We start from the raw sequence: 26,583 nt of genomic DNA, 5'->3' as shown, positions 1-26,583 counted from the left end.
TTTTTCTGCTACAAAAGTTGTTTTTTTTTTTTTTCTTTTTTCGAGACACAGTTTTACTCTGTCACCCAGGCTGGATTGCAGTGGCGCAATCTCAGCTCACTGCAACCTCTGCCTCCTGGGTTCAAGCAATTCTTGTGCCTCTGCCTCCCAAGTGGCTGGGATTACAGGTGCGCACCGCCACGCCCAGCTAATTTTTGTATTTTTAATAGAGACGGGGTTTCACCCCGCCTTGGGCTCCCAAAGTGCTGGATTACAGGTGTGAGCCACCATGCCTGGCCAGTTTTTTTCTTATGAGAGTTTTTCTATGTAGGATTAATAATATTAACTGAATGGATTCTGAAATATATTACTTTAATAAAATAACAACGTTCTATTTTGTATTCTTTTAGATTTATTTCAATTACGATGATTTTTCTCTGTATCAAAGAATTTTTCATTTTATCTTAGCATTCGATGCTAAACTGAACTAACCTCATAATGTTTTTTCACAGGGAGGAAGTTTTATTTTGTCTTCATCAGGAAGCCAACTAATTCGGTTGATACCTGAGAGCTCAGGAAAGATTCATCAGCATATCCTGCCTCAGGGGCAAGGCATGCTTTCAGGAATTGGTCGAAAAGTTTCTTCTCTTTTTGGAATTTTATCTCCTAGTAGTGATCTCACAGTAAGTTTATAAAATAACTATTTTACAAGCTTATTTCTTAGTTAAATCAATAAGTTGAAAGTATCCTCTGAATTTAGTATTCCTCCATATGGACAGTAGCTTATGCGAAATAAAACCTTTGGTCTTTTTAGTGAACTATTTTTATTATGATGAAATGAGATCATACTAACCTTCTCCCATAACTTGTAACACTAAAATCTTTAAATCAGACAGATTATCTCACAAGTACATTTTTTGAACTAAAACTATTATGTAAAATATAAAATGTGTTTCTTAAAGATTAATTTGACTTTTTAGATTTAACCAGAAGCGTGTTTCTACTCATGCCTCCAGCTGTCTGTGTGGATGACTGAAATCTAGATCTGTTGGCTGGACTTCTCTGCACCATACTCTAGCATAGTGAAGGGAAGATGATGGGAACTAATATTTATGGACCATCTACTCGCTGCTCGGTGCTCTATAGTTGTTATATTCATATTGTGTAATCATTGTGACAACCTGTAAGGTAGCATGCTTTCCCGCCAGTTTACAGATGAGGAAGCACCCTCAGCAAGGCTGAAGGTGTGTAACTGCTGAGTGGCAGAGCTGGGAATCATACCCAGGCCTGTCTGAATTTAAAGAACATGCTCTTTTTACTGTGCTGTTTCCCTCTTGTTTCAGATAATTATCACCTGCTTCCTTGAATGTTCTTTAAACCTAAACTTAACATGTTTAAAAACAAATTTATTGTGTTCTTTCATCTCTCCTATTGGCTACTCACTTAACCCTATAAAACTCATTTCTCTTTTGACCTGTTTTTGTTAAGAGCACCATCCCTTTTTTCAGTGACCCAGGTATAAAACCTTGTTATTTTTTGTGTCTCCCTCTCCTTCTATAGCAAACTAGTTATTTACCAGGTGCTGTAGATTTAACTTCTATCCAATCTCATTTCCATCCCCATCTTTCTGCTTTTGATGTTATGCCCTAACCTATACTCTTGATAAATTTCACCTAAGCTCCTGGTACCTGCTCAGTTTACTTACTGTTGGCCTTTCTGCCCTATCAGTGATGCGTTTTAACACAAAACAGTCATGTATATCCAGCTTTAAAAAGCCGAATATCTATACTTCATGATTAAGTATATACTGAAAAGGCAAAATAACACTCCTCTTCATGACTAACTACATACATTCTGCCAAATGCATTCAAACACAATTCTGTGTTCAGAAGCTATTGATAATATCTCCCTTGCTTGCTACACTTACCAATTCACATTCAACACTCTCTGCTATATGTCCCTGATTTTTCATTATTTTTTATTTTTATTTATTTTTAAAAATAGAGACAGGGTCTCAGCATTTTGCCCAGGCTGGTCTCAAGCTCCTGAGCTCAAATGAGCCTCCCTCCTTGGTATCCCAAAGTGTTGGAATTACAAGCACGAGCCACCACGCCTGGCCTCATTATTTTTCAAAAAATCCTTATTTTTTCTTCTTTTCTACTTGTCATCTACATTCCAATGTAACAGGATGACTTCTTGTTCTCCAAAGACGCTGTAACTTTCCCACCTTTCAGCTCTTCTCCTCTTGGGCTTTCCACCTGTATCCTTCTTCCTATAGATCCAACCTTGCCCTCAAGCTCTATTTCAGGATCACTCATTTCTGGTTTGTTTTGTTTGTTTGTTTTGGAGATGGAATCTCACTCTGTCGCCAGGCTAGAGTGCAGTGGTGCGATCTCGGCTCACTGCAGCCTCCACCTCCTGGGTTCAAGTGATTCTCCTGCCTTAGTCTCCTGAGTAGCTGGGACTACAGGCGTGTGCCACCACACCCGGCTACTTTTTTGTATTTTAGTGGAGATGGAGTTTCACCATGTTGCCCAGGGTGGTCTTGAACTCCTAAGCTCAGGCAATCCACCTGTCTCGGCCTCCCAAACTGCTAGGATTGCAGGGGTAAGACACCACACCCGGCCCAGGATCACTACTTTCTTTAAATCCCAAATGAAGAATTCTGCTAGGATTACTAATCACATATGTGAAATTTGACTTTTAAAACAATAGTTCCTTAGCATTAGAAGTTAATCTGTGAATTTGACTTCCTTTTCTTTTCTGAATAGCTTTCAAGTGTTCTCTGGGATAGAGAGAGATCAAGCTTTTATAGCCTGACGAGTTCAAACATCAGTAAATGGGAATTAGATGATTCTTCAGAAAAGCATGCATACAGTTGGGATATAAATAGAGCCCTGAAGGAAAACATTACCGATGCTATTTGGGTAAGAAACAATAATATTCATCTCTGTAATTCATGTTTATGGTTGTATGATAATGCTGGTTCCCTTAATTGTTTTATTTATTTCAACACATTTCAGTGTAATAAACAACATAGTGTATGGTTATCAGATTAAGTGGAAATGGGTTAGTCAATCTCCAGAAATATTGGAATGCATTGGTTTACTTGCTTAGCGATTTTTTTTTTAATGTATACATTATTCAGCAACTGAGTTATGGGTGAAGCACTTCACTAGGTACTAGGGATATAAAGGTGAAAATAAATCATTCCTGCACTTGAGAAGCTTACATTATTGATATTTTCATGTAGGGATCTGAAAGTAACTATGAAGCTATTAAAGAAGGAGTCAACATTCGATATTTGGACTTGAAGCAAAACTGGTAAGCAATTAATTTGTCGTAAAGAACATAGAGAAGAGTTTGGAAAAAATAAGTTGATGTTTATAATAAAATGATGAGCAATCTCACTATGTGCTCTTTCTTTGGAGACAGGGTCTCACTCTATCACCCGGGCTGGAATACAGTGGCACCATGATAGCTCACTGCAGCCATGACCTCCTGGGCTGAAGTGATCCTTCTGCCTCAGCCTTCCAAGTAGCTGGTACTGCAAGCATGCGCCACCACACCTGGCTGATTTTTAAAATTTTTTTGTAGAGATAGGGTCTTACCATGTTGCCCAGATTGGTCTTGAACTCCTGGGCTCAAGCAACCCTCCTGCCTCAGCATCCCAAAGTATTGCGATTACGGGTGTGAGCCACTGTGCCCAGCCTGTTCTTTTAGTGCGGGTCTTCTCATGCTATCTATTAAGCCTTACTGAATGGTCTTGCTCTTGTTTATCGAGTGATGTTAGTTCATTTGGGAAATTGAGGCATTTTTCAGCCTTAAATAGTATATTCTTACCTTCGTGTCTCATTCGTTAGAGACAAAGCTTTTCTGCTCTTACAGCTAGAGCTTCTCTTCTTCACTGCCAAGAGATGCCTGAGACCCTGTCATTGCCCACTGCTGTGGCTGCCCCATGCTGTGATCTTTCTCTCATTGGAGGTATCAGGCACATATTTCCCACCCTCTTTCTGTTGCTCAGGGAGCTTTAGGCCTATGTTTGTGGCTATGCTGAGTTAAGGATGGGATAAGGCTTTGTCTTGGTAGTACAAATTAGAACTTAATCATAGTTCATACTCAGAGTAAATTTCCTCTTAGAAACAGTGCTCTCTCTGAGTGGTGCATAGGATCCTAGGTTAGTCTGATAAAGCTAATTATCCCATGTTACTATTTAACTTTAATGCTCAAGGTCACATGGAACTTAAAAACCATTTGTAACATTGCTCATAGTGAATCCAAATATATAACTAGTAATCCTTCAGATGACAACTTCTCAGAAGTTAAAGACTATTTTTTATGAGTTTTAGAGTAATTTTTACTGTTCTTGTTACATGTTTTGGGTTAGTAGAACAAATTCTACGTGTTCCTTGGAGGGATATTGCAGTTGTACCACTTTGTGTAATTTGTCTCTCTCTTGGACTGTTTAGACTATTATTATAGGCCCCTTTACAGTCTCTGAAAACCTTATAAAAGCTATCAAAGAGGTAAAAGTAATAGTACTTGTTTAATTTCTGTAAGCGTTTTAATTAAATACAGTTTACCTGTTTTTGTCTTTACCAGACTTTTGGAAATGTAGGACTACTGCTAGGACAGCCCACTATGGGCATATAATACAGACATTTTTCTTTTTTCTTTTTATTTTTTTTTGAGACTGAGTCTCACTCTGTCACCCAGGCTGGAGTACAATGGCATGGTCTTGGCTCACTGCAACCTTTGCCTCCCGGTTCAAGCGATTCTCCCACCTCAGCCTCCCAAGTAGCTGGGACTATAGGTGGGTGCCACCACTCCCGGCTAGTTTTTGTATTTTTAGTAGAGACAGGTTTTCACTATGTTGGCCAGGCTGGTCTTGAACTCCTGACCTCGTGATCTGCCCACCTCAGCCTCCCAAAGTAGTGGGATTGCAGGTGTCAGCCACCACGCCTGGCCATGCAGACATTTTTCACATAGTTTTCTGAATTGGAGGCATGAGGTTGAGAATGAGAAGCATGCTTAGGAATTGCTATGCAGGGTCCACCCAGGGCTCCTCTGCCCCAGTGTTGTCATGCTGACCAGCAGGGTCCCTGTGAGGTGCAGCCCTTATCCTCCTTGACCTTCCTCTCCACCTTTACTCAAAATTATCCAGTTAGTACTCTATTATGTTCTTGAGGCCTCATGATCAGAACTGTACAGAGAATTTCTCATATGGGTCCGTTTATTTATTTTAAGAATAGTGTCTGTCTTCCTTATAGTCATTCACACCTACTGATTTGTTGTCCATTTGGGCAGAGCTACAATCTGGGCTTATAATTTCAGTGAGTAGCTGGGCTGGGTGGCTCACGCATATAATCCCAGCACTTTGGGAAGCCAAGACAGGAGGATTGCTTGAAGCTAGCAGTTCAAGATCACCTGGGCAACAAAACGAGACCCTATCTCCACGCAAATAAAAATAAAAAATTAGCTGGGCGTGATGGTGTGTACCATAGTCCCAGCTATTCAGAAGGCTGAGGCGAGAGGATCACTTGAGCCCAGGAGATTGGGGCTGTAGTGAGCTATGATCCCACCACTGCGCTCTACCCTGGGCAACAGAGAAAGACCTTTTTTCTAAGACCAATAAAACAAAAATAAATAAATTATTTTACTAGATGATTACTAATACAAAGTTTAGATATCTTCATTTTAGATATAAAGTTTGGAATTTTTTTTAACCTTAACTTCATTACTTTGGATATACTCACATAAAAACTTAACTGGTAAAGCAGGAGGATCACTTGAGGCCAAGAATTCTAGGCCAGCCTGGCATTGTAGAGAGAGAGACACTGCCAACATGTTACAAGTTTGGGCCAATATTCTTTTTTTTAAAGTTGATTTTTTTTTTAAATTTTTATTTCAATGGTTTTTGGGGTACAGGTGGTTTTTGGTTACATGGGTAAGTTCTTTAGTGGTGATTTCTGAAATTTTAGTGCACCTGTCACCTGAGCAGTGTACACTGTATCCAATATGTAGTCTTTTATACCTTACCCTCCTCCCACCCTTCCCCTTCAGGTCCCCAAAATCCATTATCATTCTTATGTCTTTGTGTCCTCATAGCTTAGCTCCCACTTATAGGTGAGAACATATGATATTTGGTTTTCCATTCCTGAGTTACTTCACTTAGAATAACGTGGACCAATATTCTTGAATTCCTTTCAAGAGTCCAAGCAGAAGTGATAAAGTTTGGGGAGCTGGGGGAAGAGAACCGTGAAGAAGGAAAATGAGCCGTGCTAGGATTCCTTGCTTTGAAGTGTCATGTCATTTAGTTACATGCTTGGTTTCTTATTTTTAGTTGTCAGTAGAGGGTGCTTTGCCACCCTTTTAATCTTTTTGAGACTTGAATGAAAGTTGCTAGTAATAGGACCGGGCGCAGTGGCTCGTGCCTGTAATCCCAGCACTTTGGGAGGCTGAGGTGGGCGGATCACCTGAGGTCAGGACTTTGAGACCAGCCTGACCAACATGGAAAAACCCCATCTCTACTAAAAATACAAAAATTAGCCAGGTGTGGTGGCGCATGCCTGTAATCCCAGCCACTCGGGAGGCTGAGGCAGGAGAATTGCTTGAACCCAGGAGGCGGAGGTTGCAGTGAGCCGAGATCACGCCCCGGCACTGCAGCCTGGGCAACAAGAGTGAAACTCCGCCTCAAAAAAAAAAAAAAAATGTTGCTAGTAGTAGTATTAGATGTTTTAGAAGAGCTAAAATAGGAACCATTTAATTTATTGGGAGCAACAAGTTTGCTAGACTTAAGGAACAAATAAGCTTTAAGATGCAAAATGGTTTGTTTTTACATATATAGCAGTTTGAAATTTCTATAACCAATGGCTAAAAAGCATTTTAAATATATATGTTTGTTTTTAAACATTAGAGACAGGGTTGCCCTGTTTGGTCTTGAACTACTGGGCTCAAGCGATCCTCCTGCTTCAGCCTCTCCCAAAGTGCTTGGATTAAACACATAAGCCACTATGCCTGGCCTAAAATTATTTTTTTTTTGAGTTAGAGTCTCACACTGTTGCCCGGGCTGGAGTGCAGTGGTATGAGCTTGGCTCACTGCAATCTCTGCATCGCAGGTTCAAGTGATTCTCATGCCTCAGCCTCCCGAGTAGCTGAGATTACAGGCACACGCCACCATGCTGGGCTAACTTTTGTATTTTAGTAGAGATGGGATTTTGCCATGTTGGCCAGGCTGGTCTCGAATTCCTGGCCTGAAGTGATATGCCCACCTCGGCCTCCCAAAGTGCTGGGGTTACAGGTGTGAAACACCACACCTGGCCTTTTAAATTTATTTTAGAGATATATGGTCTCACAGTGTTGCCTAGGCTGGTCTTGAACTCTTGGGCTCAAATGATCCTCCTATCTCAGCTTCCCAAAGTGTTGGGATTACAGGTGTGAGCCATCGTGTCTGGAGGTAAAACTTTTTTAAAAATGTTTTTCCTCTGGACAAAAGCAAGTAAGCTTTAAATAACTGAGTACATCAGGGATTGGCAAACCTTTTCTGTAAAGGGCCAAAAGTAACTGTTTTAGGCTTTGGCGGCCATGTAGTCTTTACTGCAACTACTCTATTTCACCAATGGTATCATGAAACATCCCTAGAAAATACATAAATAAATGCGTATGGTTGCCTTCGAACAAAACTTCATTTATAAAAACTGGTTTGAGATCAGTTTCACTGGAGGGCTGTACTTTGCCAATCCCTGGATCAGATGGTTGTTTTGATCTTTTTTTAAAGTCAGATTTATTGAGCTATAATTTATATAGAGTAAAACTTACCCTCTTTAGTTTATAATTCCACAAGTTGTTTTTTTTTTCTTTTTTTTTTTAAGATGGGGTGTCACTCTATCGCCCAGGCTGGAGTGCAGTGGTGCGATCTCAGCTCACTGCAACCTCCACCTCCCGGGTTCAAGAGTTCTTCTGCCTCAGCCTCCCAAGTAGCTGGGACAACAGGCATGTGCCACCATGCCTGACTAATTTTTATAGAGATGGTTTTGCCACGTTGGCCAGGCTGGTCTTGAACTCCTGATCTGAGGTTATGTGCCCACCTTGGCCTCCCAAAGTGCTGGGATTACAGACGTGAGCCACCGCACCTGGCCCTAATTCTACAAATTTTGACAGATACACAATTTAGTCATTTAACCGTAACAATCAATACAGAACAGTTTTATAACCCCCCAAATTCCCTTGTGCTTTCTGTAATCGACCCCTCCATCCTCTAGCCCCTGGAGATCACTGATGTGGTTTCTGTCCCTATATTTTGCCTTTTGCTTAATGTCATAGAAATGGAACATACAGTGTAAAGCCTTTTGAGTCTGGTTTCTGTCACTTAGCATAATACACTTCAAATTCATTCAGTATTTTTTTTTTTTTTTTTTACTACTGAATAGTGTTCTTTTGTATGGATATACCACAGTTTGTTTATCTATTCAGCACTTGGAAGACATTGGGTTGTTTTCAGTTTTAGGCAATTATGAATAAAGCCACTACAGTCATTTGTACACAGGTTTTTGTGTGAACACAGTTATTGGTTTTCTGTTTCTGTTTTTAAATTTTCTCTTGGATAGGTGTCCACGAATGGGATTGCTAAGTTATATGGAAGCATATGTTTAATTTTATAGGAAACTCCTAAGTTGTTTTTTAGAGAGGCTTTACATCTTCCTTTTTTATTGATTAGTGATGGGCTGGTGATTTTGGCAGCAGCATGGCACTCAGCAGACAATCCATGTCTCATCTATTACTCTCTGATAACAATAGAAGATAATGGTTGCCAAATGTCAGATGCAGTTACTGTAGAAGTCACTCAATATAATCCACCTTTTCAGGTAAGATTTATATTGGTTAAATTACAAAGCAATAATATGTTGAGTATTTTTCTAACCATTTCAGGGTCTTATTTATTTATTGAAAGAGTTTTGCTCTGTCACCCAGGCTGGAGTGCAGTGGCTTGATCTCAGCTCACTGCAACCTCTGTCTCCCCTTCCAGGTTCAAGTGGTTCTCCTGCCTCAGCCTCCCGAGTGGCTGGGACTGTAGGCATGTGCCACCATGCCCAGCTAATTTTTATATTTTTAGCAGAGACAGGGTTTCACCATGTTGGCCAGGCTGGTCTCAAACTCCTGACCTCAAGTGATTCCCCCAGCTTGGCCTCCCAAAATATTGGGATTACAGGTGTGAGCCACCTTGCGTGGCCCATTTCAGGGTCAAATTTCGTGACAGATTTCATCTGCAGGGCTTGGAAATATTTTAAAATAGCTTGTTTCTAGACATTGTTGCATTTTCTTTGCCATCTCAGGCTTGTTCTTTTGCTTAGTTTTGACTAAAGAAAAATGAGAATGGAAGCAACTAGCAGAAAGCAGTTTGTTTCTTCTGCTCTAGATCTTTGGAGGGATTGTCATGTCTGTATTTAGGTAGAAAGAAGGTATTGATTAATTCCAGGGTGAAAGTAAGGAAGAAACCAAGCTGGGCATGATGAGTACATGCCTCTAGTCCCAGCTACTCAACAGGCCGAGGCAGGAAGATCACTTGAGCCCAGGAGTTTGAGGCTGTTGTGTACCATATTCACACCTGTGAATAACCACTGCATTCCAGCTTAGGCAACATAATGAGACTCCATCCTAAAAAAAGAAGAAAAAGAAAAAGGAAGGAAGAAAACTGGTAGGAATTAGGGTTTGGTTTAGAGCCTTGTATACTATAGAAAAATCCTCCTTTTTACCCAAAGGAAGATTATATTTGTATTCAGCAGTGTTCTGTAGTCATCAAAGTTCTTGTAAATGACTGGAAGACAGGCTTTCCAATTTTAAGTTCATTAATAGCAATTAAACATGTTTAATAACTGGTATTCATGAGGAAGAACCTGAACATCTATAAATTCATTTTATTTACTCTTACATAGTATCTAATTCTGTTAAATCCTTGTTTGTTTATTTTTTGAAGAGATAAAGTCTTGCTGTGTTGCTTGGACTGGAGTGCAGTGATATTCACAGGTCCATCAGAGTGCACGGTAGCCTCCAACTCCTGGTCTCAAGCAGTCCTCTCAGGTAGCTGGGATTACAGGTGTGCACCACCGTTCCTGGCTTAAATTCTTACTTTTTTTTTTTTTTTGATCCTTACTCTTAACATGACTTGTTTAATTGAATCCTGTAAGAAAATCTTTTGATTTGTTCTTTTATGCCAAACAGAAATAAACTTTATCATGTGTTCTGATTATGCAGTGTGGAAAACATGCTCAGTGTTAGAAAAAATTTCAGCCAGGGCAGAAGACTATAAAGAGAATTTGAGGATTAAAAAACAATTCTAGGACCTCGCATTTAATATTTCTGTAAAATTACTTCTTTAATAACAGCTTATCATTTTTAGCATATTCTAATTTTATTTAATGAGATTTATTTTTATTTCTCCCTCTGATTTTATATGTAAACAAATCAACTAAGTTTTCTTGTCATTAATATCTTGGCAGTAAGGTAAGAACAAAAATGTTTGTTTATCAGGGAATATTTATAAAAAATTGCCAATTCTTAATATAACGAATTTTAGTGCTTTCATTTTCTCCTTTGAATTTATCATAGGCTTCTAGTTATAGTCATCATCATGGAAATGTTTTCCAAATTTGTTAATTTTGGAAATTAACAATTTAGGCCAGGTGCGGTGGCTCACGCCTGTAATCCCAGCACTTTGGGAGGCTGAGGTGGGTGGATCACCTGAGGTCAGGAGTTCAAGACCAGCCTGGCCAACATGGTGAAACCCCATCTCTACTAAAGATACAAAAAAATTAGCCGGGCATGGTAGCATGCACCTGTAATCCCAGCTACTTAGGAGGCTGAGGCAGGAGAATTGTTTGAGCCTGGGAAGCAGAGGTTGCAGAGAGCCAAGATTGCACCACTACCCTCCAGCCTGGGCAACAGAGTGGGACTCTGTCTCAAAAAAAAAAAAAAAAAAAAAAATTAAAAAAGCAAATTATAAGCAAGTCAACAAAATATATGTCTAATTGATGTTTATAAACTTACTCTGTCATGTTTTGTTAATCATCTCATGGGTAGTGTTCAGATTTTTACAAAGAGAATTGGTGAAATATTTTTATGAAATAATGTACAAAAATGAATTTAAAAAATCATACAAATATTTTTGTTTTACTTCTTGTTAAATGTAATCTTAAATTTAACTTTCAGTCTGAAGACCTGATTTTGTGTCAGTTGACGGTCCCAAACTTTTCAAACCAGACTGCCTATCTGTATAACGAAAGTGCTGTCTATGTGTGCTCCACAGGAACTGGGAAATTTTCTCTTCCCCAGGAGAAAATTGTCTTTAATGCACAAGGTACAGTAGCAGTTTTAGAAAGCATGATTGGTGAGCTCATTAGTCATTCTGAGTGCTTTTTTTCTCTTTCCCTGAATGTCACTTCAAGCATGCTGCTTTCAAATGTTTCTGAGACATTTCATACCACAACTACAGCAGCTGAAGCCATAACCCTACTAAGAAACCAAAAGGGTACTAGAATTTCCAAACTATTATATTTACAGACAAAGATAGTAACATTTGTTCCAGGAGAAGATGCCAAGAAGCAAAAAACTATTGCCAAGAGAAGTAATTGCTTATTCCTAGTTAGTAAAAGTGACATATTCTGAGTTGATGCTTTAACTTTTCCACACCCCTAGATAAGAAGAGCTTCAGGTGCTGGACTTATGCAGGGGGGCTGGTCAGGATTGAAGAAGAACCAAGCAGATACTTAGCTGAAGGGGTTGGGCAGAGGACAGAGTGCAGGTAGGCAACAGCATGGAACCCAGGTTTTCTAGTCCCAGCACAAGAACCTTGACAGAGGGTGGGTAGGATGTTACTAAGGTGCCAGGTAGGCTTAGACCTTTTTTTTTTTTTTTTTTTTCCAGTCCCCATTGACTGATGTGGTAAGTTAAAGTCAGAATTAAGAGAACTCCACAGGATTGAAAAAGCTCTTCTTCTGAGTTTTGCAGAAGGAATAATTTTCTTTTTTGGCTTACTAGACTGACTGCTGTCTGGCAAGGCTAGTTTTTATTGTCCTTAAAGCTGAAAGACACAGAGCCTGCTTCTTCAGATAGCAACCGGTTCTTAGCATTTGATTCTGGGATGTAAAGGATGAGTTCGAAGTAGGACTAATGTTGTAAAGGAAAAAATGTGCTTAATATATCATCAAGATGATTTTCTGCTTAGGGTGGTAGCTTTTACATAGCATTTTGTTGTTATTGTTAGATGTATTTGACTCTGTTTTCCTTTCTTTTAGGAGATAGTGTTTTAGGTGCTGGTGCCTGTGGTGGTGTTCCTATCATTTTTTCTAGAAACAGTGGACTGGTGTCTATTACTTCAAGGGAAAATGTGTCTATATTGGCAGAAGACTTGGAAGGGTCTTTAGCATCTTCAGTTGCTGGACCAAACAGTGAGGTAATGTGATTCGATAAGAATTTGAAGTTTTTATGTTATTTATTTTTTAGAGATAGTGTCTCACGCTGTCACCCAGGCTAGAGTGCAGTGGCACAGTCGTAGTTCATTGCAGCCCCAAACTCCTGGCCTCAAGCAATCCTCCTGCCTCAGACTTCCCAGTAGGTGCCTGGCTAATTTTTTGTTTTTTGGTTTGGTTTGGTTTTTGAGACAGAGTCTCACTCTGTTGCCCAGGCTAGAGTGCAGTGGCATAATCATAGCTCACTGCAGCCTCACCTCAACCTCCCGGGATCAAGCAGTCCTCCCCTCTTAACTTCCTAAATAGCTGGGACTACAGACATGCGCCATCTCACCTGGCTAATTTTTTATTTTTTGTAGAGACAGGATCTCCTTATGTTGCCTAGGCTGGTCTCAAACTCCTGGGCTCAAGAATCCTCCCGCCTCGGCCTCCCAAAGTGCTGGGATTACTGGCGTGGAGCCACCATGCCCAGCCTAATTTTTAGTTTTATCAGATTATTTTATACAAATGGTCTCAAAACTGAGACAGTTTTCAAAGACGTAATGATGCAGACATTAGTTCTTTTTATCTTCCTCATCCCTTCTGTCCTCTTTGCCTGGAGCAACTACATTTAAGCCTTTTAGTGATTTATTCTGGTATTTTTCTCCATATATCTAAGTAATGTACATATATTCCTGTCTCCTGATGCATCTGTTGATTTTCTACTACAGAAAATGAGGTTTTGGGTTACCTTATACTCCTTCCTCTGCCTTTATCATTCTAACATAAATTTTTTTCATTGTAATGACAATGTAAATATTGTTTATGGTTTGCTGATCCCAAATACTGATTACATGTCCTTTATTATAGAACTTTGTGTGACTCTTGGAGTGTATAATGACCTCGTTTTGTATTTTCTCACTTTCCTTTCATATGTGACTTAATCTTTTTACACACTCCAGGAGTTCTGTAGAGTGCCCCTCAATGTAGTTTTTCCCAAAGTCAAGTCTCCAGAAACCTTCCATCTGCACAGCTGTCATCCCAGAACTTCCCTTTTCTATTGTCCTCAAATCCTCAGGACCTGTCCTCTGCACCATGCATAGGTGGCCTCATCTCCTGTCAGCGGGGCCATTTCCCATTCCTTCTGCTTTCTATCTTCCTTTGTTGTAGTTAGTATCACAGATATTTCCAAGGAGCTTGTATTTCTGTTTCTTTTTATTCTGGGATGATTTTTTGAGAGGAATAGCCAGGTAAAAATTACCAATTTTATTCTGTTGTCTTGAAACCTGAAATATCCTATCCATAAGATTTTTATCATTCTTTTACAGAAGACTAAAAATAATTAATACTGTTTGGGGTAATTTCCATTTGAATAGTGTATGAAATATATAGACTACCTCTGTAATTCAAATTAAAGTGATTAAGTGTAGTTTTAAAGGAAAGAAACAATTTTTAACTTTTTTTTCTTTTCACAAAAGGGATTAATACCTTGCATTTTGTATTTTGTAATTATACAAAATTATACAAAGTACAAAATACCTTGTATTTTGTAATTAATACGATTACAAAAAAGGATTAATATCTATTTTGTAATTGTATGGTTATTATAATACTGTTATACATTCTGAAGCAATTTTATAGTATTCCATTTCTTTAAAATTTTTCTAAACCGTTGTTTAAATTTGTAATCAACCATTATGCTTAGGTAGTATACACTGTGATGAGTCGTGTAAGAGCAAACCTATAAAAAGATTCTGTTAATTATGATGAAATGTCCAAATTATTTTACTTACAACATAATCCCTGAATTACCTGTACCTTTTCTGTATGACTTTGGTTGATCATTTGATGCTATTTATAGTGTTTCAATAAGTATATGAATAATTGGTATGGACCAAGCTTGTCCAACCCACAACCCATGGGCTGCATGCGGCCCAGGATGGCTTTGAATGCAGCCCAACACAAATTCGTAAACTTGCTTGAAACATAAATTTTTTTTTTTTTAACTCATCAGCTATCATTAATGTTAGTGTATTTTATGTGTGGGCCAAGACGATTCTTCCAGTGTGGCCCAAGGAAGCCAAAAGATTGGACACCCCTGGTACAGACAATACGGCAAACAGCTCGTGTATATGCGGAGTTGCTATCATAGGATGGGTGCAGTTTTTAGTCCAATAATTAAGAATATTCAGATGCCTTTACCTCTAAACTATACTTTGTTATTTTGCAGAGTATGATTTTTGAGACCACTACAAAGAATGAAACTATAGCCCAGGAAGATAAAATCAAGTTGCTGAAAGCTGCCTTTCTGCAATACTGCAGGTATAACATGTTTTTTAAATTATGGATTATTTTATGTGTGAGGATATGTTTTACTGACATGTGCTACTTATTGACTGGTGGGAGCAAGTTGGAGGAATGATGCTATCAAGAGGAGAATGTTTTTTTGAGCTTTAGCACTTTAATAAACTGTTCTTCTGAACTTAGTAGCCATGGGAGGGTTCCAGCTAGCTAGGTTAGGGAAAAAACATGGGCTCTAACATACTCTCTCCACTTCATGAAAAACAATGTACCATTAAAAATGGTGATCATGAAGACATCTTGCAAGGGTCTTTTACGTATAACGTTAAGGTGCAAATAAGTTGCTTACAAAGTTTTTTTTTTTTTTTTTTTTTTTTTGAGACACTCCGTCGCCCAGGCTAGAGTGCAGTGGCGCGATCTTGGCTCACTGCAAACTCCGCCTCCCGGGTTCAAGCGATTCTCCTGCCTCAGCCTCCCAAGTAGCTGGGACTGCAGGCGTGTACCACTACACCTAGCTAATTTTTTTATTTTTAGTAGAGATGGAGTTTCACCATGTTGGCCAGGCTAGTCTCAAACTCCTGATTTTAGGCTGACTCCTAAAGTGCTGGGATTACAGGCGTGAGCCACCACTTCCAGCCGCATGCAAAGTTTTATTGGTAATATTAAAGAATTATGGCCTGGTGTGGTGGCTCACACCTGTAATTCCAGCACTTTGGGAGGCTGAGGCAGAAGGATCTCTTGAGCCCGGAAGTTCGAGACCAGTCTGGACAACATAGACCTCATCTCTACAAAGAAAAATTTTAAAAATAATTAGCCGGGCATGGTGATGCACGCCTCTAGTCCCAGCTACTCAGAGGCTGAGTTGGGAGGATCATATGAGCCCGGGAGGCCAAGTCTACTGTGAGCCATAATCACACCACTGCATTCTAGCCTGAGTGACAGATCAAGTCCCTGTCTCAAAAAAAGCAAAAGAATTAGACCTGGCCTATTAGTTGAGTTTTGCTTTACGCAAAATCACCACAAACCTTAGTGACTCATTTAACATAGCTGACAATTCTGCAGTTTGACTGTTGGGGCTGGACTCGGGGCAGTTTTACTTTTCGGAGTAGGCTCACTCATTTTGGTCTGCAGCTGGGCTGGCTGCTCTTTACCGTACTCACATTTCTGGGCCATAGGCTGGCCAGCTCGCTCTCTATTCCTGTGATGTCTCCTCAACTAGCAGGCTGCCCTGGGCTTATTCATGTATCACAGGGTTCTAGAGTGGCAAGAGAACAAGTGTCAGTGCACACTCTTTAAGTCTTTGCTTGGATGGCGTTTGCTAGTGTCCTGTTGGCCAGAGCAAGTCCAGCTGTAGTGAGAGCGTGCCTAAGCAGATGCGCGTATGGGGTGGGGAGTGATTGTCCTCACTTGGTCACACTTGCTGCTCTAATACTCTTCTGGGTTTAAGGCAAATGCAGATTTCAGTTTATCTTAGACATGTATTCTGCTCATGTATTCTGGTACTTTCCTTAAAAGGTATGGCAAATTCACATTTGAATAAATACTCAGGAAAATGGTGATCCAGCCCCCCTGCTCTGCCCCTTGTTAGCTGTGGGAAACTTTGGACAGATGCTGAACATTTCTGCCATTGTGTTTCTGTTTCTTCCTTTTCGAAGTATTGAGTGGGGTGGGAGTTAGCATGGCTAAAGGATCATTAGTTTATCGTCAGATCTTTGTTTTGAAGGAATATACTGAGTGTACTACCTTCATTTCCCCCAGTTCTGAGCCCATGGTTCCATAATCCCACTCATACTGGTGTCTGATGCATAGCGGCTCACTCACAGAGACAACAGATTCCAAAGTGCTTTTACAGTTCTAACATTCTGTACCTCGTGATCTACTGAGCTTAGTTTGTCACCAGAAGGGGGCACCATTAGGCAAGTTTTTTGTTTCTGTTTAAAATTATATTCTTTTAATCTTGTTCTTTTACATGGTTCAGTCTTCAAAAATCTCAGTTGAAGTACTGTGTTTTTATCTTTCACAAGTTTATCCTGTAATTAAAATTCTGTCACATTTGTGGCATCTCAAAATGTAAATGATAATGCAGCAAGTGACCAGTCATTAGATTTGTTTCCTGTGGCTGCCATAACAAATCACCACAAGCCAGGAGCTTCAAACAACGCAAGTGTCTTCTCTCACAGTTCTGGAGGCCAGAAGTCTGAGAGCGAGGCATGAGCAGGGCCCTCCCTCTGAAAGCTCTGAGAAAGGATCTGTCTTCACCTCTCTCAGCTCCGGGTGGCTGCTAGCAATCCTTGGTTTGTAGATGTGTCACTCCAGTTTCTGCCTCCATTGTCACGTAGCTGTCCTCACATTCACATGGCCTTTTTTTTTTTTTTTGAGACAGAGTCTCACTCTGTCATCCAGGCCAGAGTGCAGTGGTGTGATCTCGGCTCACTGCAACCTCTGCCTCCCTGGTTCAAGCAATTCTTCTGCCTCAGCCTCCCAAGCAGCAGGTGCACACTGCCATGCCCGGCTAATTTTTTGAATTTTTAATAGAGACGAGGTTTCACCATGTTGGCCAGGCTGGGCTCAAACTCCTGGACTCAAGATCCACCCACCACAGCCTCCCAGAGTGCTGGGATTACAGGTGTGAGCCACCATGCCCAGCCCACGTGGCCTTCTTATAAGGACATCAGTCATTGGATTTAGACTCATCATAATTTAACAAATTGTATCTGCAAAAACCTTATTTCCAAATAAGGTTGCATTTTGAGGCACTGGGTAGATATGAATTTGTGGGAGACACTATTCAACCTGGTGTAGTCATCTTAAGATGTTTTACAGGGGAAAATTATTAGGCACAAGAAGGGACCCCTGATCTAAGTCCTGAGCAAGCAGTACCCTCAGGAACAGTGTCATGGGCCCTGTAGCACAGCTGTGCTGAACTCATCCTGCCCAACATGGGTGAAGTACTATGGACTTAATAAGGGATGATTTCTGGGGGAGTGTCAGCTAGCTCTCTTAAAGATGTAGACTCCTTACAAACAGAATTGTGGTGCCTTTAAAGCTGGATTTCTCAACCCCATTAACATTGTCATTTGAGGCCGGGTGTGATGGTTCACACCTGTAATCCCAGTACTTTGGAGGCCAAGGCAGGCAGATCATTTGAGATCAGGACTTCGAGACCAGCCTGACCAACATGGTGAAACCTTGTCTCTTCTTAAAAAAAAAAAAAAAAAAAAATAGCTGGGTGTGGTGGCACATGCCTGTAATCTCAGCTACTCAGGAGACTGAGGCAGGAGAATCGCTTGAACCCAGGTGGCGGAGGTTGTAGTGAGCCGAGATCCCGTCACCGCACTCCAGCGGTGCATTGTAAGCTGTTTAACAGCATCACCAGCCACTTCCTGCTAGATGCCATTAGCACCCTTTCCCCCAACTTGTGATGCCCAAAGTTATCGTCAGACATTGCCAGATGGCCCCTGGGGTCACAATTGGTAGATAACACTTTTAAGTGTGACTGTCTGTTTAATCTTTTGCTAAGGTAATATTACTGTTTTTATAGCATCATTTCTTTGAAATTGATTTTTATGTTATTTTGGTTTTCATTTTATTTAGCCCAAAAAACACTAAATCTTTTGTTCATGAGAGTTTTGGGGAACTTTTTCTGTAATTTTTTATTAAATCTTGCCATAGTCACCTTTGTATTTTCATAACCTGTAGCGTGACTGGGTCACCAGCTTCACCCTGGCCTTTCACGCTTTCAAGAGTTTTTCTGCGTTTCTCCAGTCAGCTGTGTCTCCTGTTCTACCAAGGGACCATGACAGCCCTTTTCCAGTCTCCTCCCACTTCCCTCAGACTTAGCAGAGGACTTAACTTCCTACTTCACAGAGATCACAGAAGCCCTTGATAAGAGCTCCCTGTACCTCCTAGCTTACTAGCTATGAATGTATCTGGATCCCAAATCCTGTTCCTCTTTCCCTCCCAATAAAGTAGGAAGTGTACTCTTCTTCCTATCAGAGACTGCTCTTTGTTTTGAAGGCCACTCTCTCCTGCTTCACTTAAGACTACATCCTTTCAGTTCTCCCTTTCCTCTGTCCTTTGACCTTTCTCGTGCTGGCTCCTTCTCATCAGCAATTAATCATATTTAGTCTGCCATTTGTAAAAAGACCAGTCTTTGACTTTGCGTCCTTTGAGTTACCACCTTATCTGTTTGTTCCTGTTGATGGCTAAACCACCTGAAAGGATGTCTACATTCTCAGTTGTCGACCACATTCCCTCTCTGTCTACTCCCTCGGTGATCTTTTCTCCTCCTTGGCTTCATTTGCTGAAGAAACAGATGTACCATGACCCGGGCCATTATGTGAAAATGGAGAGTGTCCAGCAGCAGTACATATTTCATAGGCACTTGAGTTTCAACGTATCCAAAACCGAGCTTATCTTCTCCAAAGCTTATTCTTCCATCCTTACCCCCTGCTCCAGTGACAAGCACTACCATCTCTTCAGTTCAAAGCAACAACAGAGGAGTCATTCTTATACAGTTGTTCCCCCTTACCCACAGGGGGATATGTCTTAAGACCCCCAGTGGATACCTGAAATTGCATATAGTACTGAATCATATATATACGTTTTTCCTATAGTACCTATGATGAAGTTTAATTTATAAATTGGGCATCCTAAGAGATTAAGAACAATAGTAATAAAACAACCGTAACAATATACAATTGACCTTTGAACAACACGGCTTTGAACTGTGTGGGTCTACATAATATGCAGGCTGTTTTCAACCAAATGCGGATCAAAAATTCACAGCATGTTTTCAACCAAATGCGGATCAGAAATTCACTTGCTTATGCAGAAGGTCGCCTTTTTGTATGCTGGAGCTCCACAGAGCCAGCTGCAGGACTTGAATATGGGTGGATTTTGGTGTATGTTGGGGGTCCTGTAACTAATCCCCTGTGTATACTGAGAGATGACTGTACTGTAATAAAAATATGTGAGTGTGGTTGGTCTCTCTCTCTCTCTCTGTCTCTGTCATCTGTTTTCAGACTGCAGTTGACTGCAGGTAACTGTGACTGTGGGAAGTGAAACCATGAATAAGAGGGGACTACTGTACATCAGATCCAGCAGTAACCTAACTGGATTTTTCTCTTTCCTGTCTTTTCCTTTCTGCAGTAACCTCCTAACTGGATTTTTCTCTTGTCTGATCTGACATCTGATCCCCTCTCCATATGATAGAGCAATCTTTTGGGACACTGGAACAGACTGTGACACTCCTTTACAGTGCCTGTCCATTGTCCTTGGTATTAGGTTCAAACCCCATAACATGGTTTACAAGACCGTGTCCTCTAATTTTGTGATTCATCCCTTCTCAGTATCCCTCGTTTCTTCATGTGTGCCATAGTTAATCCCCTGGTGGGTTCATTGACACCCTAGTTGTCCCCTAATCTCTCTAAGTTAGAAGAGTCTGCTGCTTTTTATGGGCTTACCCTTCCTTTAATTGGTTATCCTGCAAGTTTTTTCCAAACTCTTGCTCCCTGGGTGATCTCAGCCTCTCCCGTAGCCTCAGTTCTCTCCTGAGATAGAGGCTTACTTGCGGACGGATGTGGATGTATGTTCTGTGTGCAGCTGTATACCCCTCCCCCAGTTCTCCCCAGCCTTCCATGACCTCCTCTTTACCTGTTAGGAAGTTTTCCCTGTCTCTCTCGGTGTTTATCACCTGTGTCATTGCTTGCTCAATTGTCTGGACTATTTTTAAGTCTTTTTATCTTTCTGTGTCCAGAGCCGAGCATGTTCTAAGTATTCAATGTGTATTTATTGAATTAATGAATGGATAATAGTTTTCTCCCTTTTAATTAAATAAATTTTATTAAAAGTAACTTTGAGCCAAAACCTATAAATGGTTTTTAGGTTACATTTAACTTCACAATTAACTTAAAATTTTTTTTTTATTTTTATGGGTACATAGTAGGTGTATACGTTTGTGGGGTACATGAGATATTTTCATACGGGCATACAATGCGTAATAATCACATCAGGGTAAATGGGATATCCGTCACCTCAAGCATTCATCTTTTTTGTATGTTGTGAACATTCTAATTATGCTCTTAGTTACTTTAAAATGTACACTAAATTATTGAACATGTAAAGTTTGTTACATGTCTTTCGTGCCTGACTTATTTCACTTAACATGTCCTCCAGTTCCATCCCTACTGTTGCGAATGACAGGATCGCATTCTTTTTTTTGGCTGAATAGTAGTCCATAATTAATTTTTTCTTGGTGAGTTTTGAAAATATTTTGCCTCCCTTAATACTTGTGTTTTCCAATTTTATTTCAGAAAAGATTTAGGTCATGCTCAAATGGTGGTTGATGAGCTCTTTTCCTCTCACTCTGATTTGGATTCTGATTCTGAACTAGACAGGGCAGTTACCCAAATCAGTGTAGACCTGATGGATGACTACCCAGCATCTGACCCACGGTGGGCTGAGTCTGTCCCTGAGGGTAAGAATGTTTCAATTATGGAACGGTGTGTTTTGAACATATTCTGGTTTCTTTATTAGAAGCATCTCTTAAAGCATATTTTTTAGCTTCTCAAACAATTTAATATTAATTCAATATTTTTTAAAATATTGTGACCTTCCTTTTTTTTTTTTTTTTTGAGACAGAGCAAGGCTCTGTCACCCAGGCTGGAGTGCAGTGGCGCGATCTTGGCTCACTGCAAGCTCCACCTCCCAGGTTCACGCCATTCTCCTGCCTCAGCCTCCCGAGTAGCTGGGACTACAGGTGCCCGCCACCATGGCTGGCTAATTTTTTTGTATTTTTGGTAGAGACGGGGTTTCACTGTGTTAGCCAGGTTGGTCTTGATCTCCTGACCTCGTGATCCACCCACCTCGGCCTCCCAAAGTGCTGGGATTACAGGTGTGAGCCACCAGGCCCGGCCAGGTAACCTTCCTTATAGTATGTTTTGAAAAAGGGTCAGAACAGGTCTAGATAACAGAATGGAAACTAAAGGAACATTGGAGCAAATCCTAATTGTTCTATCCAAGGCAGATTAATTGCCTTACTTAGCTTTCCTGGCTTTTATTTCTAAAAGAAAATTGGTTGCATAGGTAGACAGTTGGCACTTACCTGCCCCCCAATCCCAGTTTTTTTTTTTGTTTTTTTTTTTTGGAAACAGGGTCTCCCTTACTTTGTCACCCAGACTGGAATGCAGTGGCACGATCTCAGCTAACTGCAACCTCCACCTCCTGGGTTCAAGTGATACTCCCACCTCAGCCTCCTGAGTAGCTGAGATTACAGGTGTGCACCACCATGCCCAGCTAATTTTTGTATTTTTAGTAGAGATGTAGTTTTACCATGTTGGCCAGGCTGGTCTTGAACTCCTGACCTCAGGTGGTCCACCCGCTTTGATCTCCCAAAGTGCTGGGATTTCAGGTGTAAGCCACCACACCCAGCCTACTTACCCCCAAATTAAATGATAATTTTGGCATAATCAGTATATTTGACTAATAGAAATGATCCATTCCCCTAAGAGCAGCAGTGATCAAATGTCAATATGTAGAAGTGGACAAGACATGTCTAGCTGCCTGTCCCAGGTGACTGCCCCTCTTACTCTTACTTCCACCTCAGAAACTCGAGGGGAACTCTGGGGTCCCCAGATACCAGGGAACTGTCTCAAACATGTTTCTCTCCCTAATTATCCTACTTCTTAGCAAGTTCACTAAGCTCCATTAGAGATTTAGGAAGAAAACATGAGAGCTCATCTCCTTTCTTTGACTGTTTTTGTTGGCACTGTCAAGCTTAAATTGTTACAAATGATTAAACTAAAAACGTATTTTGCATTTTGAATAAATACAGTATGAATTGTATCAAACCTCCAAAATTTACTCTTAAATTTTTAAAACTCCTGAGTAACGTTATAAACAACTGTATTGTAAGGTTGATATTTTTATTTTGTATAGACTTTTTTTTTTTTTCCCTTTTCTTTTTTGAGACCGAGTCTCGCTCTGTCGCCAGGCTGGAATGCAGTGGCGCAATCTCGGCTCACTGCAACTTCCACCTCCCCGGGTTCAAGCAATTCTCTTGCCTCAGCCTCCTGAGTAGCTGGGACTACAGGCATGCGCCACCACGCTCAGCTAATTTTTGTATTTTTAGTAGAGATCGGGTTTCACCATGTTTGCCAGGATGGTCTCGATCTCTTGACCTCGTGATCTGCCCACCTCGACCTCCCAAAGTGCTCGGATTACAGGTGTGAGCCACCGTGCCTAGCCTTAGCTTTTTATTTTAATAGCAGTTAGCCACTGATATTAAAATAGTATAGTTGTAAAACCACTATGTTCTAAGTTTTATCACTGTGTTTTAACAGAAGCACCTGGGTTCAGCAATACGTCACTGATTATCCTTCACCAGCTAGAAGACAAGATGAAAGCTCACTCTTTTCTTATGGACTTTATTCATCAAGTAAGAGCGCAGGGTGCTGGGCACAGGGCTCTGCCTTTGGCAGTCTCTCCAACACAGTGGGAAGTCTCTTCTCTCTATTTTGAGGTGTTTCATTGGGTGGGGCATGACTGGTGTTTTCCATTGTCTCTGCTGATTTAAAAGTCCGTAATTCCAGGGCTGTGTACAAGCCTGTTAATCCAGGTATAAGAAGCAGGACTTCATTCAGATTTCCCGTGTGCGTTTGTGTAAGAACTTAAGTTTTCATGAGTCGATTTTGTATTTGACAGATTTTTATGTATGACTTTTAATTTTGAGGTGCCATTAGAATCAAATCCTCATTGAAAGTATTCCTTTTCTTTTTTTGGGTAAAGGTTATCCTCACATATATTGTGCCTAAATTAGAAAATGTTTTGCTACTGGACAGAATTGTTACATAAATTCACTCATTCTTGTCTCGTCAATAAAAGTGGCTTGCAGACATATTACGTAGCCAAATGAATGAATTTCAACCTGCTTGGGGTTTTGTTTGTTTGTTTTATTTATTTATTTATTTATTTATTGAGACAGGGCACTCTGTTGCCCAGTCTGGAGTGTAGTGGCACAGTCTTGGCTCACTGCAGCCTTGACCTCCTAGGCTCAAGCAGTCCTCTCACAGCCTCCTGGGTAGCTGGGACTACAGGTTTGTGCCACCATGCCCATATAATTTTTTTTCAGTTTTTGTAGAGACAGAATCTTACTACGTTGCCCAGGCTGGTCTCGAACTCCTGGGCTCAAGAAATCACTGCACTTCAGCCTCCCAAGGTGCTGAGGTTACAGGCATGAGCTACCAGGCCCAGTCTCTTCCCTGATTGTTTTTCAAACTCAGTAGTGCCTACTCACTACCACACCCGGCTAATTTTTTATGTTAAGGAGATTCTAGTGAGTGCTGTCCAATCCATTGCTTTCTGTGATCATGGGAATGTTCTCCTAGTGTGATGTCTAGTGGGACAGCTGCTGGCCACATGTGACCTGAACAGTTGAAATGTGACTAGCAACTGAAGAACTGAATTTTAACTTACTTAAATAGCCACTGTGGACAGTGGCTACCTTATTGGACAGTGCAGCACTAGATAATTTCAGAAATGACTTGATTGTTCCTAATCCCACATTCTTTTTCAATTTTGTGCATGGTTTATCTCCTGTCTACTCTTTTATTTTCTTGGCAAGAAAACTCCAATCATTCATTGAGTCTCTCTTTTTTTGTTATTGTTATTTTAGGTGGGATATGGATTAATGAGGAAAAAACATATTTTCTCCCGATATGGTCGTTTAATTAGCCAAGTGTATCAGTTAACTATTACTGCCATATAAACCACCCCAAAACACAGTGGCTTAAAACAATTCTGTGGGTTAATCAGGCAGTTCTTCTGTTGGTTTCACCCGGAATCACTCGACCTGCATTTAGGATGCACTGAGCTGGAGGGTCTGCAAGCCTCTTCCCGCTTTCTGGCAGTTGGTTCCAACTGTCAACAGAGGCTATGTGGTTCTCCTCCATTTAGTCGCTCATCCTGCTCTGGGCTGGACTGGCTTCCTGTGGTCTTAACAGATGAACATAGAAGCTGTAGGCTTCTTAAGGGCTCATCTCAGATGTCACATAATGTTACTTCCAGTAAAGTGACATTGGTCAAAGCAAGTCACAAGGACAGCTGGGATGAAAAATTAAAGAATTTATTATACCTCTTTTTTTGTATGTGTGTGACAGGGTTTCACTCCCATCGCCCAGGCTGGAGTACAGTGGCGCAATCTCAGCTCACTGCAACCTTTGCCTCCTGGGCTCAAGTGATTCTCCTGCCCCAGCCTCCCCAGTAGCTGGGACTACAGGCGCATGGTGCTGAACCTGGCTAATTTTGTGTATTTTTTGTGGAGAACGGGTTTTGCCATATTGCCCAGGCTAGTTTCGAACTCTTAAGCTCAAGTGATCGCCTGCCTCTGCCTCCCAAAGTGCTGCGATTACAGGTGTGAGCCACTGTGCCCAGTGTGATTGTACCTCTCGATGGGAAGAGTGGCAAAGTCATTCTCATTGGAAGAGGATATGCATACTGGGCCGGCAGGACCTTGCCCTGACCTGATTCGCCACACTAAAAGCATGGATTTATCAGAGGCCCGAAAGCCATGAGAGCATGAGCACTCTTGTCTCAGCCTTCCTGGGTTCCAGAGAACCCTCACGAAGTTCCACGGCTGCTGGTAGCAGTATCTGTCCTAAGGCAATGTCTAGCTAGTTCTGAAAACCCCATTCCAGCCATGCCTTTTATGTTTCTATTTCCTTTAATATTTAGAGCTCATTTAACTAATGAGGAAGAATTTATGTTGATAATTAGGAAAAAGGTATAACTAGATACTAAGGAAAGTTTTTTTTGTGTGTTTTTTGTTTGGATACAGGGTCTCTGTTGCCCAAGGTGGAGTGCAGTGGCACGATCGCAGCTCACTGCAGGCTTGACCTCCTGGGCTCAAGCAATCTTCTCACCACTGCCTCCCCAATAGATGGGACCACAGGCACTCACTACCACGCCCGGCTAATTTTTTTATTTGCTGTAGAGACAGGGTCTCATAATGTTGCCCAGGCTGGTCTCAAATTCCTGGCCTCAAGTGATCCTCTTGCCTAGGCTTCCCAAAGTGCTGGGATTACAAGCCTGAGCCACTGCACCCAGCCCTAGGGAATATTTCTGAATACAGAGAAATATTCCTTTTCTCCTTGAGCCAAACTTGGCATCTGCAGGGCCATATCCTCATTCTGAAGGGGGTGGAAGTAACACCAACACTTCAGAACAGTACCCTTGCCTCTAGTTTTCTGATGTTGAGGGAAGCCTCTGTGTTCATACATTGTGTTTCCATACCTTACAGAAGCAGGGAGGTAATCTGATCATATTCACTGTGTGACTAGAATGATTGTACATATATATATATATATATATGTATATTTAGTTTTTTAATTTTTTTGAGACAGGGTCTCACTCTGTCACCCAGGCTGGAGTGCAGTGGCATGATCATAGCTCACTGTAGCTACAGCCTGTCCGGGCTCAGGTGATCTTCCCATCTCAGCCTCCCAAGTAGCTGGGACTACAGGCATGTGCCACCAAATCAGCTACTTTTTGTATTTTTTGTACACATTACCCAGGTGATCGCCTGCTTCTGCCTCCCAAAGTGCTGGGATTACAGGTGTGAGCCACTGTGCCTGGCCTAGAATAGTTTTAATCTAGAGCCATTGCTTCACTGTCAGTGCTGCAATCAAAGCAAAGTAAAGCAGGCAATTGGGATGACCTTGCATGAAAACTCCACCTAGATTTTTTTTTTTTTTTTTTTTGAGACGGAGTCTCGCTCTGTCGCCCAGGCTGGAGTGCAGTGGCGCAATCTCTGCTCACTGCAAGCTCCGCTTCCCTGGTTCATGCCATTCTCCTGCCTCAGCCT

At 41.0% G+C, this 26,583-nt stretch overlaps 1 protein-coding gene across 2 annotated transcripts in view, besides 2 other annotated features; it reads left to right on the top strand.

The window, feature by feature from the left end:
* The window catches only part of NUP133 (nucleoporin 133), a 68,083-nt gene that overhangs the window by 9,544 nt on the left and 31,956 nt on the right, over positions 1 to 26,583 (top strand). For both annotated transcript variants that reach the window (NM_018230.3, XM_047424979.1), the window contains exons 6-14: positions 492 to 662; positions 2,751 to 2,906; positions 3,233 to 3,303; positions 8,696 to 8,843; positions 11,185 to 11,332; positions 12,270 to 12,427; positions 14,653 to 14,744; positions 21,038 to 21,201; positions 23,066 to 23,160. In NM_018230.3, the coding sequence (NP_060700.2) occupies positions 492 to 662; positions 2,751 to 2,906; positions 3,233 to 3,303; positions 8,696 to 8,843; positions 11,185 to 11,332; positions 12,270 to 12,427; positions 14,653 to 14,744; positions 21,038 to 21,201; positions 23,066 to 23,160 (1,203 nt within the window). The remainder of the gene's footprint in view (positions 1 to 491; positions 663 to 2,750; positions 2,907 to 3,232; positions 3,304 to 8,695; positions 8,844 to 11,184; positions 11,333 to 12,269; positions 12,428 to 14,652; positions 14,745 to 21,037; positions 21,202 to 23,065; positions 23,161 to 26,583) is intronic.
* Positions 18,944 to 18,993: an enhancer, noted in NCBI's record as "active region_2702". NCBI's record gives its function as "activates an Ori minimal core promoter by ATAC-STARR-seq in GM12878 lymphoblastoid cells {active_cell/tissue: GM12878}" and the evidence as "EXISTENCE:reporter gene assay evidence [ECO:0000049][PMID:35858748]".
* Positions 19,698 to 19,807: a silencer, noted in NCBI's record as "silent region_1930". NCBI's record gives its function as "represses an Ori minimal core promoter by ATAC-STARR-seq in GM12878 lymphoblastoid cells {active_cell/tissue: GM12878}" and the evidence as "EXISTENCE:reporter gene assay evidence [ECO:0000049][PMID:35858748]".

Source organism: Homo sapiens, chromosome 1 (assembly GCF_000001405.40).
Source record: "Homo sapiens chromosome 1, GRCh38.p14 Primary Assembly".
NCBI classification, from domain to species: Eukaryota; Metazoa; Chordata; class Mammalia; order Primates; family Hominidae; genus Homo; species Homo sapiens.
Note: the sequence above shows the minus strand (reverse complement) of the source record. Positions and strands in the feature narration are given on the sequence as shown.